This window comes from Homo sapiens, chromosome 12 (assembly GCF_000001405.40).
Source record: "Homo sapiens chromosome 12, GRCh38.p14 Primary Assembly".
In the NCBI taxonomy this organism is placed as follows: Eukaryota; Metazoa; Chordata; class Mammalia; order Primates; family Hominidae; genus Homo; species Homo sapiens.
In genome coordinates, this window is record NC_000012.12 from 25,151,648 (window position 1) to 25,170,847 (window position 19,200).

Below are 19,200 nucleotides of genomic sequence, written 5' to 3' on the forward strand. Positions count from 1 at the left end.
AGCCTCTCTGGTAGACAGGATGTGTAGTAGCAAGAACACTGTATGATTAATCCACAGGCATTTAAATAGCTCAGACTGCACGGGAGACTCCTTGGGCCTACGGAAAGTCAGAGTAAGGTCCATCTAAGGTCTCACAGTGGACTGCAAGCAAATCACAATCTATGTTTATTTGTTAAATGACTCTTATAATCTTGTTGTTTAGATTAAATCTCGCAATGCATGGTATGAGCTTAAAAGAGTCTACAGTTCTACCCTCTTATGACAACATGAAGAAGTTAAACTATAGCAGCAATGACAGGAAGCATAAAACTGTGAGGAAGTGGACCAAAAAAGCATTAAAGGATAATAATAGGAATAAGAGTAGTGAATTCCTTCTAGTTTCTATTATCATATAAGTGTGTTTAAGTGTGAATGTATTTATCCTAACTTGACGTGACATAAAAAGAAATAAATATTTGGTCTCTGCCCCCTGTTCCTGGCACAAGCTTCTTAGAATTTCTTGAGGGATAGGAATGACAGAAACAGCTTTTGTTATTTATAATAAGCCCTTTTCAACCTCACCTGAGTTTATGCTAATATGATGAGTCTCAGAGGATGGCGGCTGATTGCCAGAGGGACCAACCATGTGATTAGAGGGCTGAAACTTGCAGCCCCACTCCCTAGCCTCCAGGATGGGGAGAGGGGATGAAGATGAACTTAAATGCCAACGGCAAATGATTTAATCAAGCATGCCTACATAAATGAGGTTTCCATAAAAAACTCAAACAACGAGGTTCAGAGAACTTTCCGGTTGGTGAACACATTGAGGTGCTGGAAGGGTGGTGTGCCCCAAGAGGGCACGGAAGCTCTACACTCCTCCCTACGGACCTCACCCCTTGTATTTCTTCATCTAGTTTTTCACTTGTATCTTTTGTAATATCCTTTATAATAAACCAGTAAAGGCGAGTAAATGTTTCTCTGAGTTTTGTGAGCCATTACAGCAAATAACCTGACCAATGGCTTGTGGCTGATTTATAACAGGCTGATCAGAAGTACAGGTGACAAGCTGGGACTTGTGATTGGAAGTGAAGGAAAGGGCAGTTTTGTGGGACGGGGGTCTGCACTAGCTCTAAGTACTCAGTACCAGCACTGGATCGAAGGACACTTCAGTAGGAATCTGGAGAGTTGGATAATTGGTTGGTGTGAGAAAACCCCACATACATTTGGTGTCAGAAGTGTTAAAAGTATAAACGCTAGTTTTTCGTTTTACTTAGAATTTCTTGAGCTTCCTGAATGTGAGGATTCACATCTTTCATCAATTCTGGAAAATTTTCAGCCATTATCTCTTTGAATATTGTCTCTCTTCCATTCTTCTGTATCCCTTCTTTTCTTTTTTAGCCCTTGTTACTCTATAATACATGCCTGTCAACTGCTCTTTCATATTTTCTATCTCTTTGTCTCTGTGCTGTCTTCTGGTAAATTTTCCAATCCAACTTTTGATTCACTCCTCATTAAAAATTCTTGGCTAGGTGCAGTGGTAATCCTAGCACTTTGGGAAGCTGAGGCTGCTGGATCATTTGAGGTCAGCAGTTTGAGACCATCCTGGCCAACATGGTGAAACCTCATTTCTACTAAAAATACAAAAATTAGCCAGGTGTGGTGGCACATGACTGTAATTCCAGCTATTGGGAGGCTGAGGCATGAGAATTGGTTGAATCCGGGAGGTAGAGGTTGCGGTAAGCCGAGATCACGCCACTGCACTCCAGCCTGGGTGACAGAGCGAGATGCCGTCTCAAAAAATTAATTAAATAAATAAATAAATAAAAATTCTTAGTGGAGACATTTTTGTTTCTTATTCACTAAGCTAAAGATAAGCCAAACGCATCTTATCTCCTTTTGCACAATAAATTTTTCCTGTTATCCATAATGTCTTTTGAGGCTCCCAGCCATACAGGAGTCTCTGGTTCAACTTACCACCTTGTATGTACTCTAGGCTTTGCCTCCTGATGGCCCTTTGAACCAATGCTAAGCCATAGCAGTTAGCTAGCTAAGCCACTAACTAGTTAGCTATGAAGCCATGGCTTCAAGACCTTCTTACTTTCTGGATTGTTTTATGGCCTCTAAGGTTTTACCTTACTTTTTTTGATTAAAGCAATGAATTTAAATTTTTTTTAATAAATTAGTTTTTTTTCCCCCAGTATTTTTAAGTGCATTGTAAAGTGGCAGCTTCTCAGGCTAGTCTAACCATCCTATTTGCAGGAACAAAAGTTAGAATATTCTGATTTGTCTTTGTACCCCCACTGTCTAACAGAGTGTATACCTGGCACCTAGTAAACATGAAAAATCATGGGTACTAAATTACTGAACAGTGGATATTCCAACTGAGGATAAAATTACCCACTACCCCCACCCGAGTTATCTACATGAATGCATGCAACTTGATTTTTTTTTCTTGATTAGACAGACAAATAATCAATGTTTTATGATATGCTGACCTTAGCTAATATGGCAAGGAATTCTTAGGACTTGTAAAAAAGAAAAAAGAAAATGAAAAGATTACCAATTACTTCTTTTGCTAAGGGTTCAAAAGCAGTAGTGTTATTACTTGGCAAATGATATATTAATTTTTATTTTGAGTTAATATCAGACTATTTGTAATAGCCAGTTTATAGGAAAATGCATAAATACCTACATTTAGCACTACTTTACTCTTCTCAATCACTTCCTCAAAAGTCTCATTTGTTTTCTCTTTCCACAAACTAATAAACGTGTTCATTTCTTGGGCTACTGAAGGATCAGGACTCCCATCACATTGAATGTAGTGCTTCCACTGTGGAATAAAAATGTTTAAAGGTTCACATTGATGAAGATTCAACCAAAGATTAAATGACTTCTTTTTTGAAGGTGAATTTTTATAACCTAGTTTAACCAACTTAGATAAAAACATGATGGCTTTAACCAGTAACTTGAGAGAGCTCTAAAATAACCAAGTTCTTCTTTATCCAAGTAACTTCTAATCCTTAATATTCAGATACATAGAAGCACTAAAATACTTTCACATTTTTATTTTTAAAGCATTATTTATAAGTAGTTTTGTTTTGCTTAGTTTTCCTCTCTAATCATAGAGCTGCTTATTTGCAAAGGCCAACACTTAGGCTAATTTCTACTTCCCAAGTTATTACTAATGTCTAGTTGCCACTGGCATTTTAGTAGAAGGCCTTCCATTCATTTTGTAGTTTATGCAAATTTCACATTTGTAATCATATTGTACTGTACTTAGAATTTTTCACTTGATTATACCACAATCTTTAGCCATATTATAATAGTTTTTCATTTTTCTCCTGATATTCACCTATATTATTTCCAAAGTTATGCAGTTTTGAGCAAGACTAGATTGCCTTAAGCACAAAGCTTTTACGTTTTAATTTAGCATAATTTCCCTAAGTATACATTCCCAGCAATTGAGTCAGAGTCAAAGAATATAAACATTTCAAGGACATTATTACTGACAAATAGCTTTCTACAAAGTTATGTTAGTTTACTTTGCCATAAGCAATCAATTTGTCAGATGAGAGGGTTTTTTAAAACAGAAAAATTTAGTTTCTTTTCTTGGCATCAAAATTGGACTACACCTCCCTCTTGTGGTGACAAAGGTATTAGCTAAAAAAGAGAAATCAGTCCTACCTGAGAAAGCAATTTAGTTTCCTGTTTCAATTTCTCTGCTTCAGGAAAACACCTCTCTAATAAATAAAGTTCTTCAAGTTCTTCATTTCTCCTTTCTAGATCCTGTTGCACAAGGACAGATACATTGATCAGCTCTTTAATTTTAACTTTATGTTTCACAAGTAGCATCTAAAACTGACGTGGCTAAATATATAACTGCAGTTTCAAAATGAATATTAAAATTAGTTTGAATATAACTGATATCTCCAAAAGGTTTCATCTGAAACAGTGGCTTACAAAGTGTGATCTACAGACTCTTGATGGGTACCTAAAACCTGGGATCTGTGAGGTCAAATCTATTTCCATAATAATACTAACATTATTTGACTTTTTCATCGTGTATCTATTTGCACTGATTGTGCAAGATGGTGTGAAAGTGCTGATGTCTTAGCACAGATCAGACAGTGACCCCAAACTGTACTACTTCTAGGGGGAGAGGTGAAGGGAAGGAGCCAGCTTCACAAAAGAATGCCCGGATGGATGGGTGCAGTGGCTCACGCCTGTAATCCCAGCACTTTGGGAGGCTGAGGCAGGCGGATCACTTGAGGTCAGGAGTTCGAGACCAGCCAACATGGTGAAACACCATCTCGACCAAAAATACAAAAATTAGCCGGGTATGGTGGCGTGTGCCTGTAATCCCAGCTACTCAGGAGGCTGAAGGGGGAGAACTGCTTGACCCTGGAGGCAGAGGTTCCACTAACCCAAGATCGCGCAACCGCACTCCAGCCTGGATGACAGGGCAAGACTCTAAATCACGTTACAAAAAAAAAAAAGAATGCCCTGATGAAGAGGTGAAAATTATTAATTGTATTAAATCTGAACCCTAAGTACATGTCTTTTTAATAGCCTGTTGGATAAAATGGGAAGTCAGCATAAAGCTCTTCTGCTGCATATCGAATGACAATACTGTCTTGAGAAATATCACTTGTGCAATTATTTGACTAATTTGGTAGACATTCTCTCAAAAATGAATGAATGGAGTGTGTCACTTCAAGGATACAACTCAAAATATCTGTTGCCAATGACAAAATTCAAGCTGTCAGGCAAAAATTCAAATTTTAGAAAACTTGTATCTATCACTGTAAGCTTGAAAGTATTCCGATCTTTAAAAACTTCTGATTTGGGCCTGGCGTGGTGGCTCACATCTGTAATCTCAGCACTTTGGGAGACAGAGGTGCATGGATCACAAGGTCAGGAGAGTTCGAGATCAGCCTGGCCCCATCTCTATTAAAAATACGAAAATTAGCCGGGCGCGGTGGCGGGTGCCTGTAATCTCTGCTACTCGGGAGGCTAAGGCAGGAGAATCGCCTGAACCTGGGACGTGGAGGTTGCAGTGAGCCGAGATTATGCCATTGCACTCTAGCCTGGGTGACAGAACAAGACTCTGTCTCAAAAAAAAAATGAAAAAATCTTCTGATTTGGTTGGTGATTATACTAATGTATGTGATTTTTGATAATGAATAATCAATTACATCAACATTTGGAAGCAAATAATTCAGTAAACCAAAACTTTTCAAGCAAGCAACACATGATAATGCCAAATCATGTATGAAAACAAGATCTGTTCAGAGGGTAAGATAGATCAATGTTTTAAAATAACAGAGTATGAATAGTTGACTGATATGGTTTCATATTCCACATTAAGAAACTACAACTTGGCCGGGCGCAGTGGCTCACACCTGTAATCCCAGCACTTTGGGAGGCCGAGGCGGGTGGATCACGAGGTCAGGTGATTGAGACCACGGTGAAAGCCCGTCTCTACTAAAAATACAAAAAACATTAGCCAGGCGCAGTGGCGGGTGCCTGTAGTCCCAGCTACTCGGGAGGCTGAGGCAGGAGAATGGCGTGAACCCGGGAGGCGGAGCTTGCAGAGAGCAGAGATTGTGCCACTGCACTCCAGCCTGGGCGACAGAGAGAGACTCCGTCTCAAAAAAAAAAAAAAAAAAAAAGTTTTGATACAGTATCAAAGAAGAATATCCACAATTATCAGAAAGGCTATTAAAATATTACTTTTTTTCAATTGCATATCTGTATAAGGCCAGATTTTCCTTATATGCTTCATACAAAACAACATATTGCAACAGATGGAATACTGAAATAGATATGAGAATCCAGCTGTCTTCTGTTAAGTCAGATATCAAATAAATTTTTAAAATATAAACAATGCCATCATTTCCTTAATTTTAAAAAAAAGTTGTTTCTTTAAAAATATCCATGTATTTACTTATGTTTAATAAAATTTATTTTTATCAACATGTAATGTCTGTTAATGTAAGCAGTTTAAAATTTTTTAGTTTTAATTTCTAATATGGTAAATATTGATAGATGTAATCCACATAAACATAAGCTCCTTGGAGGGTCTTCAGTTTTTAATAGTAATGGAGTTTTGTCCTGAGACCAGAATATTTCAGAATTACTGATCTAAAAGATTCTAGTGAAACAGAGAAGTGAAACTAAAAAAGGAGAGGTAGAATTTGAATATTTTGAATTTTTTTTTTTTTTTGTTCCTGTTATCTTGTCTATACAACAGATTCATGTATGCTTAAAGGTTACAAGCATAGGCTCTGCAGCAAGACTTGCTTAGATCTAAGTCTTGGCAGCCAGGCATGGTGGCTCACGCCTGTAATCCCAGCCCTTTGGGAGGCTGAGGGGGGCGGATCACAAGGTCAGGAGATGGAGACCATCCTGGCTAACAAGGTGAAACCCTATCTCTACTAAAAGTACAAAAAATTAGCCGGGTGTGGTGGCAGGCACCTGTAGTCCCAGCTACTCGGAAGGCTGAGGCAGGAGAATGGCGTGAACCCAGGAGGCGGAGCTTGCAGTGAGCCAAGATCACACCACTGCACTCCAGCCTGGGCAACAGAGCGAGACTCCATCTCAAGAAAAAAAAAAAAGAAGATCCAAGTCTTTGCTATGCCACTGATTAGATGCTTAATTTCTCTATGCCTCAATTTCCTCATCTGTGAAATCTGGATAACAATGTCACTTATTCTATGGTACGATTAAGTTCATGTAGGCCTAAATATTACTGGTAGCTATGGGCTGAGAAGGACATTAAATGACAATAAATCTGATAGCCATAGTTTAAGTATTCATTAAGAACATTATTAATGTTTATTTACTTTTGCTTCAAGTCGATGCCATTTTTCTTTCTCAATTCGCTGTATTTCAAGCCTTTCCATTTCTTCTTTCTCATATTTCAAACGGGCTTCCTCTAAAGAACCAAAAATAATTTTTTTCTCAGTGAATAGATCACTGTATTTTTAAGCCCTTAAAATTACTCCTAATATTTTCAAGATGTAGTGGTGGAATCTTTTATAGAAGTCACAGTCTTTATTACATGGTAGATATGAGAAAAGTGTCAGTTCTCCTTTCTTCAAGACAGTAACTACAAGAAAAAATCAAACAACCCCATCAAAAAGTGGGCAAAGGATATGAACAGACACTTCTCAAAAGAAGACATTTATGCAGCCAACAGACACATGAAAAAATGTTCATCACCACTGGTCATCAGAGAAATGCAAATCAAAACCACAATGAGATACCATCTCACACCAGTTAGAATGGCGATCATTAAAAAGTCAGGAAACAACAGGTGCTGGAGAGGATGTGGAGAAATAGGAACACTAATGTTGATGAGACTGAAAACCAGTTCAACCAATGTGGAAGACAGTGTGGCAATTCCTCAAGGATCTAGAACTAGAAATACCATTTGACCCAGCGATCCCATTACTGGGTATATACCCAAAGGATTATAAATCATGCTACTATAAAGACACATGACTCCCAGCCATTGTCTCTTCTTTGCTTCTTGTGGAAATGATGTAGGAGTGGCTCCCTTGAGCACTCACTGTAGCTTTAGATGTGCTTCCTCTCTGCAGCAGGAGCTACTCGGCCTTATTATTCCCCTACTTAATTTGAGAATATTTATTCGATTTGAGTATGTTTTTGACCTGCCAGGGTCTGTGAAACAAAATAACTCCTACTGATAGCTTCTTATCAAGAGTAATTTAAAACATCCATCATCTCCTGCTGAATGTGTCAAAATAAAGGTTGAGACAAATTCCCATTTCCCAAAAAAAAAGAAAAAAAAAAAGAAAGAAAGTAACATGATTCAAACTTTGTGGTCAAAAATAAAAAAATAAAAAATAAGCCACAATAATATTTTTCTTCTCCAAAAGGTTTATAGCAATCCAATAGTGATTTTAACCAATAAGGTATGGCAGACCTATCATGGCAATGAAGAGGAAGTCAAGCCTTCAGAAGACTTCCATAATCTTGTGACATCTACATCTCAGATGCAATTACCTTAATCTTCTCCTGCTCTCACTATTAAAAACAAAATGTGAAGTACATATTGAAGAGTATAAGTTTAATCCAATATAAATAAAACATGCCCCAAGATATAGATCCTGATATTGTATTTGTATCAGGAGTCACCGAAAAAAAAGGATGTATAAAATTATACATAAAAAGTCAATATGGAACCTGAGAACAGTCTTTTAAAAACCTCTATCTAAATACTCAGATTTTAAAAATCACTTTTTGGTACTTTAATTAATAAACACTTTTATCAATGTTTAATCAGTTTTTTAACAAATAAAATTAGTATTTTAAATTTGGCAAATAAATATTATAAAACTGTAAAAATTTAGGCTGCTCTATGTATTTCTTGCTAGTTTATATTTCCCACATTTAATGAATTTGAGTTTCAGAATTTTTACTGAACAAACAGCACCAATGCTCCTAATTTCTTTTTTTGTTTTGTTTTATTTATTCTTTTATTTTTATAAAAGAATAAAAATATACATGGTCTTTTAAAATTCCAATGCTCCTAATTTCATCAGTAAATATAAACACTTCAAGATAGGGTTACCAGAATTAGCAGATTAAAACATGGGATGCTCAGTTGAATTTGAATTTTAGATGAACAATAAACATTTGTTGAATATGAATTCTAAATTTCTCTTCAAAGAATTAATATGTCAGTATGTTCAATTCTTTGCCTTCTACTTTTAAACTTAACTTCTTCGTAAAGCAACCTTTTTCGATTACTGACTCCACCCTGACTCATTCTGATCACCTACTCCACACTAACTCATTCTGATCACCTGCTCCACCCTAACTCATTCCGATTACCTGCTACCTGCTCTGCCCTGAATCCGGCCAAAGCGCTCACCCCGTCATTCTCTTTAAATTAGCCAATCGGAATTAGTTTATCCTGTGTGGTCTAACCCTAGCCAATAGGGGAATGACACAGTAGCAGGGGCCACAGGCGCCAGGGATAAGAACCCCTTCCCCTCCCTTGTCCAAGTGTGCACCCACCATTGCTCCATTGGTGAGAGAGCACCCTTCTATAGAAGTACCTTGCCTTGCTGAGAAATAAAAAGAAAATTTTATATTCGAGTGCTATTTCTTTTGCGGCACCAAAACTTTATTTAAAACAATTTTTTTTTTAAGTTAAGTATGTCCCAAGTATTGCATGGGACAAATTATCCCAAATTATCCATGTGATTATCTGAAAGTTAAATTTAACTGGGCTCTTGTATTTTATCTCTGGCAACCCTAATTCAATATATATCTGAAAGAGACTGGCATGTACTAACATCTTTCTGGATACTTTCTAAAAGATAGATACCTATTATAAAACAGATTAAATTTTAAAATTAAAGAACTTTGAAAAAATATTGACTTTACTACAAAAGACCAACCTATCGTGACTATTACCTGTATAGGTAAATAGTATCACTATTTATTTTGTACCTTCCTCTTTCAGTCGTCTCTCCTCCTCCTCTTGTAGCAGCTTCAATCGTTCAGCTTTGGTGACTTTCTTTTTCTTACTGCCAGACTTAACAAAGGCCACATCATAAAAAAGGCTATTAACATGCAAGTTACTTGAAAAACACATCTTTTCAAATACTAATTATGAAAAACATTTTTGCTTTCATAAAACCAGCCTTTCATGCATTCATTCAACAAATAAGACTGCCTCTTAGTGTAAAGCTTTGACTCAGTGCACTGAAGGACAAAGTCTGGGAACAAGAAAAATAAGAATATAAATTATTCAAAGGCAAGGGTGACAGTGGCAAGTACATGCAATTTAAATAATTCTCATTCCCAGTTTCCATATCTTTAAAATGGTGCTAAAGAAAACCTCATCTTGTTGTAGAGAATAAAGTAAAACATATGTAAAAGCAGTTTGAAAACTACACTTATAAAATTGAAAAGTATTCTTATGACTAACAGGTATACAGAGAGTTATTTTGCAAGCTTGGAAGAAGGAGAGATTACTTTCAACAGTGAGGAGCAAGTAAAATATTTATAGAGTAGGTGGTATTTAAATCTGTGCTCAAATGATTTTTACCATTCAGAGAAGATATTCCAAGAAGAGGGAAATGCAGGTACAAGATAGGGGATTGAAAGAGCATTGGATGGACAACAAGTTCAGTGGGCCCTGGAAAGACTCCAAGAAGAGGTGGTGAAGAAAATGAGAATGTGAAAGAAGGCTAGAGCCTATGCTAAAGAGTTTGGACATCATTCTAGGAGAAATGGAAAACTCCTAAAAGTTTTTGAGAAGGGCTGTGGCTATAAAGAATATAATTTTGAAAATTAACCTGGTATCGGAGAAAAAAACATAAAGAGGATACCATTTTGGCAACAATTAACACAATTCAATAAATTGAAGTCCTGGCAGAGTGTTTATAGAATAGATGGCATCTAAATTTGTGGCCAAAGGATTTTAACATTCAAGGGAAGATATCCCAAAAAGAAGGAAATGAAGGTGCAAGATAGGGAGCTGAATGGGCACTGGATGGGCCAACAAGGTCAGTGGGCCCTGGAAATGTAGAGAAGATCCAATAAATATTTTATAAGCTAACTTACTTAGTAATGATTAAAATTGGAGGCAAGGAGAGGAAAGAGGAGAGAGTCTCACAGAGGGAGAATGGCAGTCCAGAACAGGTGAATTTGAATGAAGAATTGTTAAAAATAATTTACATATAATTAGTACAAAATGCTGGTAGATCATTCAGGCAATTCTTGCAGGCACTAGAATTGTAGAACTGAGGTTTAGCAAAGGTCAGTGCTACATAAGCAGATACGAAAGCAATTTCTGTGATAACGACCTCTCCTCCATTTTCACAGGGGAAAGCTAAAAAGAAGAGCACCATCTACATTTAAGAAGAATTCATAGAAAGAGTGGTTAATTCTTGGGATGTATAGACTCTTGGATCTTCTCTTTTTGGTTCACCTTCTCTAAGATGCTCATAGACTCCATTAGCTCCACTGGAATCTCTAATCCATTGCCTCTACCACTTTTTCACTGTTCATCCACCTCCTCCCACCTTCATTTCTTCCTTTCCCAGGTTAGATTTCACAGTTCATCGCCCTTATCACTAACTTATATACCTCCACTTCCTCTATCCTCCTCTTCCTCTAAAAAGCTCAGCTGGCTAAATCATAGTTCCAGTGAAACTCAACTTTCCATTTATTCTGTGCTAGCAATACGAGCAGCTGAACCTTATCAGAGAAAAACACACATGGGCTCAAATTTATCAACATAATTTTAAAATAGACTCCAGATTGTGAATTTTAGCTCCAGATTGACTACAAGAACAAACCAGCAATCCCAAGAGGACCCACAGACCCTGTGAAGGGAGCGATCTGCTCCTGTACGACCTGGGAGACACCCCAAATACGGTGAGTGCCCCAATTGCGCAAGCGGGAAAGGGAGACACTCCTTTCAGAAACAAGACCTATAAAACAAAAATGCAAGTTTAAAAGCAAAAACAAAAAACAAAACCAAAGTATACAGGCAACAAAGAGCATGATGAAAGCAATGGTACCTCACATTTCAATACTAACTGTCAGGCCTCTGAGCCCAAGCTAAGCCATCATATCCCCTGTGACCTGCACGTACACATCTAGATGGCCGGTTCCTGCCTTAACTGATGACATTCCGCCACAAAAAAAGTGAAAATGGCCTGTTCCTGCCTTAACTGATGACATTATCTTGTGAAATTCCTTCTCCTGGCTCATCCTGGCTTAAAAGCTCTCCTACTGAGCACCTTGTGACCCCCCACTCCTGCCTGCCAGAGAACAACCCCTCTTTGACGGTGATTTTCCTTTACCTACGCAAATCTTATAAAACGGCCCTACCCCTATCTCCCTTCGCTGACTCTCTTTTCGGACTCAGCCCACCTGCACCCAGGTGATTAAAGAGCTTTATTGCTCACACAAAGCCTGTTTGGTGGTCTCTTCATATGGACGAGAGTGAAATCTGGTGCCGTGACTTGGATCAGGGGACCTCCCTTGGGAGATCAATCCCCTGTCCTGCTTTTTGTTCCATGAGAAAGATTCACCTACGACCTCTGGTCCTCAGACCAACCAGCCCAAGGAACATCTCACCAATTTTAAATCTGGTAAGCGGCCTCTTTTTACTCTCTTCTCCAACCTCTCTCACTATCCCTCAACCTCTTTCTCCTTTCAATCTTGGTGCCACACTTCAATCTCTCCCTTCTCTTAATTTCAGTTCCTTTTCTTTTCTAGTAGAGACAAAGGAGACGCGTTTTATCCATTGACCCAAAACTCCGGTGCTGGTCACTGACTTGGGAAGACAGTCTTCCCTTGGTGTTTAATCACGTGGGGATGGCTGCCTGATTATTCACCCATGTTTCAGAGGTGTCTGACCATGCAAGGACGCCTGCCTTGGTCCTTCACCCTTAGCGGCAAGTACCGCTTTTCTGGAGGGCAAGAAACCCCCAACCCCTTCTCTCCGTGTCTCTACCCCTTCTCCGCTTTTCTGGGAGGCAAGAATCCCCCGACCCTTCTCTCCATGTCTACCCCTTCTCCACTTTTCTGCGGGGCAAGAAACCCCCAGCCCCTTCTCCTTCACCCTTAGCAGCAAGTACCACTTTTCTAGAGGGCAAGAATCCCCCAACCCTTCTCTCCGTGTCTCTACCCCTTCTCCACTTTTCTGGGGCGCAAGAACCCCCCACCCCTTCTCTCTGTGTCTCTACTCTCTCTTTTCTCTGGGCTTGCCTCCTTCACTATGGGCAAGCTCCCGCCCTCCATTCCCTTCTTCTCCCTTAGCCTGTGTTCTTAAAAACCTAAAACCTCTTCAACTCACACCTGACCTAAAACCTAAATGCCTTTTCTTCTGCAATCCTGCTTGACCCCAATACAAACTTGACAGTAGTTCCAAATAGCCAAAAAATGGCAGTTTCAATTTTTCCATCCTACAAGACCTAAATAATTCTTGTCACAAAATAGGCAAACGGTCTGAGGTGCCTGACGTCCAGGCATTCTTTTACACATCAGTCCCTCCCTAGTCTCTGTTCCCAGTGCAACTCATCCCAAGTCTTCCTTCTTTCCCTCCCGCCTGTCCCCTCAGTCCCAACCCCACGCGTCGCTGAGTCTTCCTAATCTTTCTTTTCTACAGACCCATCTGACTTCTCCCCTCCTCACCAGGCCGAGCTAGGTCACAATTCTTCCTCAGCCTCCACTCCTCCACCCTATAATCATTTTATCACCTCCCCTCCTCACACCCGGTCCGGCTTAGTTTCGTTCCGCGACTAGCCCTCCCCCACCTGCCCAGCAATTTCCTCTTAAAAAGGTGGCTGGAGCTAAAGGCATAGTCAAGGTTAATGCTCCTTTTTCTTTATCCCAAATCAGATAGTGTTTAGGCTTTTTTCATCAAATAAAAAACGCAGCCCAGTTCATGGCTCATTTGGCAGCAACCCTGGGATGCTTTACAGCCCTAGACCCTAAAAGGTCAAAAGGCCGTCTTACACTCAATATACATTTTATTACCCAATCCGCTCCGGACATTAAATAAAACTTCAAAAATTAAATTCCAGCCCTCAAACCCCACAACAGGACTTAATTAACCTCGCCTTCAAGGTGTACAATAATAAAGTAGAGGCAGCCAAGTAGCAATGTATTTCTGAGTTGCAATTCCTTGCCTCCACTGTGAGACAAACCCCAGCCATATCTCCAGCACACAAGAACTCCAAACGCCTGAACTGCAGCTGCTGGGGTTACTCTAGAACCTCCTCCCCCAGGAGCTTGCTACAAGTGCCAGAAATCTGGCCACTGGGCCAAGGAATGCCTACAGCCCAGGATTCCTCCTAAGCTGTGTCCCATCTGTGCAGGACCCCACTGAAAATTGGACTGTTCAACTGACCTGGCAGCCACTTTCAGAGCCCCTGGAACTCTGGCCCAAGGCTCTCTGACTGACTCCTTCCCAGATCTTCTCAGCTTAGCGGCTGAAGACTGACACTGCCCAATTGCCTCGGAAGCCTACGGGACCATCACAGATGCTCTGGGTAACTCTCACAGTGGAGAGTAAGTCTGTCCCCCTCTTAATCAATACGGAGCCTACCCATTCCACATTACCTTCTTTTCAAGGGCCTGTTTCCCTTGCCCCCATAACCGTTGGAGGTATTGACGGCCAGGCTTCTAAACCTCTTAAAACTCCCCAACTCTGGTGCTAATTTAGACAGTACTCTTTTAAGCACTCCTTTTTAGTTATCCCCACCCGCCCAGTTCACTTATTAGGCCGAGACACTTAAACTAAATTATCTGCTTCCCTGCCTATTCCTGGGCTACAGCCACACCTCAATGCCGCCTTTTCCCCCAGTTCAGAGCCTCCTTCACATCCTCCCTTTGTATCTCCCCATCTTAACCCACAAGTATAGGACACCTCTACTCCCTCCTTAGCAACTGATCATGCACCCCTTACCATCCCATTAAAACCTAATCACTCTTACCCCGCTCAATGCCAATATCCCATCCCATGGCATGCTTTAAAAGGATTAAAGTCTGTTATCACTCGCCTGCTACAGCATGGCCTTTTAAAGCCTATAAACTCTCCTTACAATTCCCCAATTTTACCTGTCCTAAAACCAGACAAGGTTTACAGGTTAGTTCAGGATCTGCGCCTTATCAACCAAATTGTTTTGCCTATCCACCCCATGGTGCCAAACCCATACACTCTCCTATCCTCAATACCTCCCTCCACAACCCATTATTCTGTTCTGGATCTCAAACATGCTTTCTTTACTATTCCTTTGCACCCTTCATCCCAGCCTCTCTTCGCTTTCACTTGGACTGACCCTGACACCCATCAGGTTCAGCAAATTACCTGGGCTATACTGCCGCAAAGCTTCACAGACAGCCCCCATTACTTCAGTCAAGCCCAAATTTCTTCCTCATCTGTTACCTATCTCGGCATAATTCTCATAAAGACACGTGCTCTCCCTGCTGATCGTGTCCGGCTAATCTCCCAAACCCCAATCCCTTCTACAAAACAACAACTCCTTTCCTTCCTAGGCATGGTTAGTGTGGTCAGAATTCTTACACAAGAGCCGGGACCACACCCTGTAGCCTTTCTGTCCAACTTGACCTTACTGTTTTAGCCTAGCCCTCATGTCTGCATGCAGCGGCTGCCGCTGCTTTAATACTTTTAGAGGCCCTAAAAATCACAAACTATGCTCAATTCACTCTCTACAGTTCTCATAACTTCCAAAATCTATTTTCTTTCTCCCACCTGATGCATATACTTTCTGCTCCCTGGCTCCTTCAGCTGTACTCACTTCTTGTTGAGTCTCCCACAATTACCATTGTTCCTGGCCCAGACTTCAATCCAGCCTCCCACAGTATTCCAGATACCACACCTGACCCCCATGACTGTATCTCTCTGATCCACCTGACATTCACCCCATTTCCCCATATTTCCTTTCCTGTTCCTCACCCTGAACACATTTGGTCTATTGATGGCAGTTTCACCAGGCCTAATCGCCACACACCACCAAAGGCAGGCTATGCTATAGTACAAGCCACCAGCCCACCTCTTAGAACCTCTCATTTCCTTTCCATTGTGGAAATCTATCCTCAAGGAAATAACTTCTCAGTGTTCCATCTGCTATTCTACTACTCCTCAGGGATTATTCAGTCCCCCTCCCTTCCCTACACATCAAGCTCGAGAATTTGCCCCCGCCCAGGACTGGCAACTCTTAACTCCCTCTTAGAGTGGATAGATGATCTCTGCTGGCAGGGGACCCTCCAATACTTCCACCCTGATGAAGTTCTATTGTTTAGTTTTATACTCACTCTTATTATCATTCCCATTCTTATGCCACCCTCTACCTCTCCCCAGCTATCTCCACCATACTATCAACTTTACTCATTCTCTCCTAGCCGTTTCTAATCCCTCCTTAGCGAACAACCGCTGGCTTTGCATTTCCCTTTCTTCCAGTGCCTACACAGCTGTCCCCGCCTTACATGCAGACTAGGCAACATCTCCTGTCTCCCTATACCTCCGAACTTCCTTTAACAGCCCTCACCTTTACCCTCCTGAAGAACTCATTTACTTTCTAGACAGGTCCAGCAAGACCTCCCCAGACATTTGACATCAGCAAGCTGCCACCCTCCTCCGCACTTACTTAAAACACCTTTCTCCTTATATCAACTCTACTCCCCACATATTTGGACCCCTCACAACACAAACTACTATTCCTGTGGCTGCTCCTTTATGTATCTCTCGTCAAAGACCCATTGGAATTCCCCTGGGTAACCTTTCACCTTCTCGATGTTCCTTTACTCTTCATCTCCAAAGCCCTCTTCTTGTTTACTTATACCCAGCCCCGAAAATAACAGTGAAAGGTTGGTCGTAGACACTCGACGTTTTCTCACACACCATGAAAATCGAACCTCCCCCTCTACACAGTTACCTCATCAGTTCCCGTTACAACCTCTGACGGCTGCCGCCCTAGCTGGATCCCTAGGAGTCTAGGTACAAGACACCTTTTTCAGCACTCCTTCTCATCTTTTTAGTTTGCATCTCCAGTTTTGCCTCGCACAAGGTCTCTTCTTCCTCTGTGGATCCTCTACCTACATGTGTCTACCTGCTAATTGGGCAGGTACATGCACACTAGTTTTCCTTACTCCCAAAATTCAATTTGCAAATAGGACCGAAGAGCTCCCTGTTCCCCTCTGACACCGACACGACAAAAAAGAGTTATTCCACTAATTCCCGTGCTTGTCAGTTTAAGACTTTCTGCCTCCACTATTGCTCTCAGTATTGGAATAGCAGGCATTTCAACCTCTGTCACGACCTTCCATAGCCTCTCTAATGACTTCTCTGCTAGCATCACAGACATCCCACAAACTTTATCAGTCCTCCAGGCCCAAGTTGACTCTTTAGCTGCAGTTGTCCTCCAAAACCGCCGAGGCCTTGACTTACTCACTGCTGAAAAAGGAGGACTCCGTATATTCTTAAATGAAGAGTGTTGTTTTTACCTAAATCAATCTGGCCTAGTGTATGACAACATAAAAAACTCAAGGATAGAGCCCAAAAACTTGCCAACCAAGCAAGTAATTACGCTGCACCCCCTGGGGCACTCTCTAATTAGATGTCCTAGGTCCTCCCAATTCTTAGTCCTTTAATACCTGTTTTTCTCCTTCTCTTATTCTGTTTAGTTTTTCAATTCATACAAAACCATATCCAGGCCATCACCAATAATTCTACACGACAAAATGTTTCTTCTAACAACCCCACAATATCACCCCTTACCATAAAATCTTCCTTCAGCTTAATCTCTCCCACTCTAGGTTCCCATGCTGCCCCTAATCCCGCTTGAAGCAGCCCTGAGAAACATCGCCCATTATCTCTCCATACCACCCCCAAAAATTTCGCTGTCCCAAAACTTTACCACTATTTCATTTTATTTTTCTTATTAATATAAGAAGACAGGAATGTCAGGCCTCTGAGCCCAAGCTAAGCCATCATATCCCCTGTGAGGTGCACGTACACATCCAGATGGCTGGTTCCTGCCTTAACTGATGACATTCCACCACAAAAGAAGTGAAAATGGCCTGTTCCTGCCTTAACTGATGACATTATCTTGTGAAATTCCTTCTCCTGGCTCATCCTGGCTCAAAAGCTCCCCTACTGAGCACCTTGTGACCCCCACTCCTGCCCACTAGAGAACAACCCCCCTTTGACTGTAATTTTCCTTTACCTACCCAAATCTTATAAAACGGCCCTACCCCATCTCCCTTCGCTGACTCTCTTTTCGGACTCAGCCTACCTGCATCCAGGTGATTAAAAAGCTTTATTGCTCACACAAAGCCTGTTTGGTGGTCTCTTCACACGGACGAGAGTGAAACTAACATTGAATATAAATGGCCTAAATGCTCCACTTAAAAGACACAGAGGCCAGGAGCGATAGCTCATTCCTGTAATCCCAGCACTTTGGGAGGCCAAGGCAGGGGGATCACCTGAGGTCAGGAGTTCAAGACCAGCCTGGCCAACATGGTGAAACTCTGTCTCTACTAAAAATACAAAAATCAGCTGGATGTGGTGGCATGCACCCGTGATCCCAGCAACTTGGGAGGGTGAGGCAAGAGAATCACTTGAAACCTAGAGGTGGAGGGTGCAGTGAGCTGAAATCACACCACTGTACTCCAGCCTGGGTGACAGAGCAAGACTCTGTCTCAAAAAAAAAAAAAAAAAGAAAAAAAAGATACAGAACCACAGATGGATAAGAACTCCCCAATCAACTATCTGCTGCCTTCAGGGGATTCATCTAACACATAAGGACTCACATAAAGTAAAGGGGTGGAAAAGCATTTCATGCAAATGGATACCAAAAGCGAGCAGGGGTAGCTATTCTCACATCAGACAAAATAAACTTTAAAGCAACAGTGGTTAAAAGAGACAAAGAGGGATAGTGTATAATGGTTAAAGGCCTTGTCCCAGCCAGGCCCAGTAGCTCACACCTGTAATCCCAGCATTTTGGGAGGCTGAGGGGGGTGAATCACCTGAGGTCAGGAGTTCAAGACCAGCCTGACCAACATGGTGAAACTCTGTCTCTACTAAAAATACAACAATTACCCTGGTGTGGTGGTGGGTGCCTGTAATCCCAGCTTCTCGGGAGGCTGAGACAGGAGAATCACTTGAACCCAGGAGGCAGAGGTTGCAGTGAGCCGAGATTGCGCCACTGCACTCCAGCTTGGGCAACAGAGCGAGACTCCGTCTCAAAAAAAAAAAAAAGCCTCGTCCAACAGGAAAATATCACAATCCTAAACATACATGCACCTAACACTGGAGCTCCCAAATTTATAAAAACAATTACTAATAGATCTAAGAAACAAGACAGACAGTAACACAACAATAATGGAGGACTTCAATACTCCATTGACAGCACTAGACAGGTCACCAAGACAGAAAGTCAACAAAGAAACAATGGATTTAAACTATACCTTGGAAGAAATGGACTTAACAGGTATATACAGAACATTCCATCCAACAACTGCAGAATACACATTCTATTCAACAGCACATGGAACTTTCTCCAAGATAGATCATATGATAGGCCATAAAATGAGCCTCAATACATTTAAGAAAATTGAAATTTTATCCAGCACTCTCTCACACCAAAGTGGAATAAAACTGGAAATCAACTCCAAAAGAAATCTTCAAAACCATGCAAGTAC

The 19,200-nt window shown here is 41.0% G+C and overlaps 1 protein-coding gene across 30 annotated transcripts in view, besides 2 other annotated features; it reads right to left on the minus strand.

Annotated features, from left to right (window-relative positions):
• The window catches only part of DNAI7 (dynein axonemal intermediate chain 7), an 88,114-nt gene that overhangs the window by 44,601 nt on the left and 24,313 nt on the right, over positions 1-19,200 (minus strand). For 19 of the 30 annotated variants that reach the window (NR_147910.2, NR_147909.2, XM_011520723.2 and 16 more), the window contains 4 exons: positions 9,466-9,550; positions 6,825-6,916; positions 3,664-3,765; positions 2,672-2,809 (listed from right to left, as the gene is read on the minus strand). Coding sequence is in view for 27 of the 30 variants with exons in the window: in XM_011520723.2 (XP_011519025.1) it covers positions 2,672-2,809; positions 3,664-3,765; positions 6,825-6,916; positions 9,466-9,550 (417 nt within the window). In the remaining 3 variants the exon portion in view is untranslated. Of the gene's footprint in view, positions 1-2,671; positions 2,810-3,663; positions 3,766-6,824; positions 7,091-9,429; positions 9,551-19,200 lie in introns of all 30 variants that reach the window. The other 11 variants (NM_001319977.2, NM_001352065.2, XM_047429075.1 and 8 more) reach the window with 7 other exon arrangements.
• Positions 17,302-17,935: an enhancer, noted in NCBI's record as "OCT4-NANOG hESC enhancer chr12:25321883-25322516 (GRCh37/hg19 assembly coordinates)". NCBI's record gives its function as "activates a minimal SCP1, AML or CMV promoter by ChIP-STARR-seq in naive H9 embryonic stem cells {active_cell/tissue: H9 hESC(naive)}" and the evidence as "EXISTENCE:reporter gene assay evidence [ECO:0000049][PMID:30033119]".
• Positions 18,614-18,760: a silencer, noted in NCBI's record as "fragment chr12:25323195-25323341 (GRCh37/hg19 assembly coordinates)". NCBI's record gives its function as "represses an EF-1alpha promoter that drives an FKBP-Casp9 reporter gene in an ReSE screen in HepG2 liver carcinoma cells {active_cell/tissue: HepG2}" and the evidence as "EXISTENCE:reporter gene assay evidence [ECO:0000049][PMID:32094911]".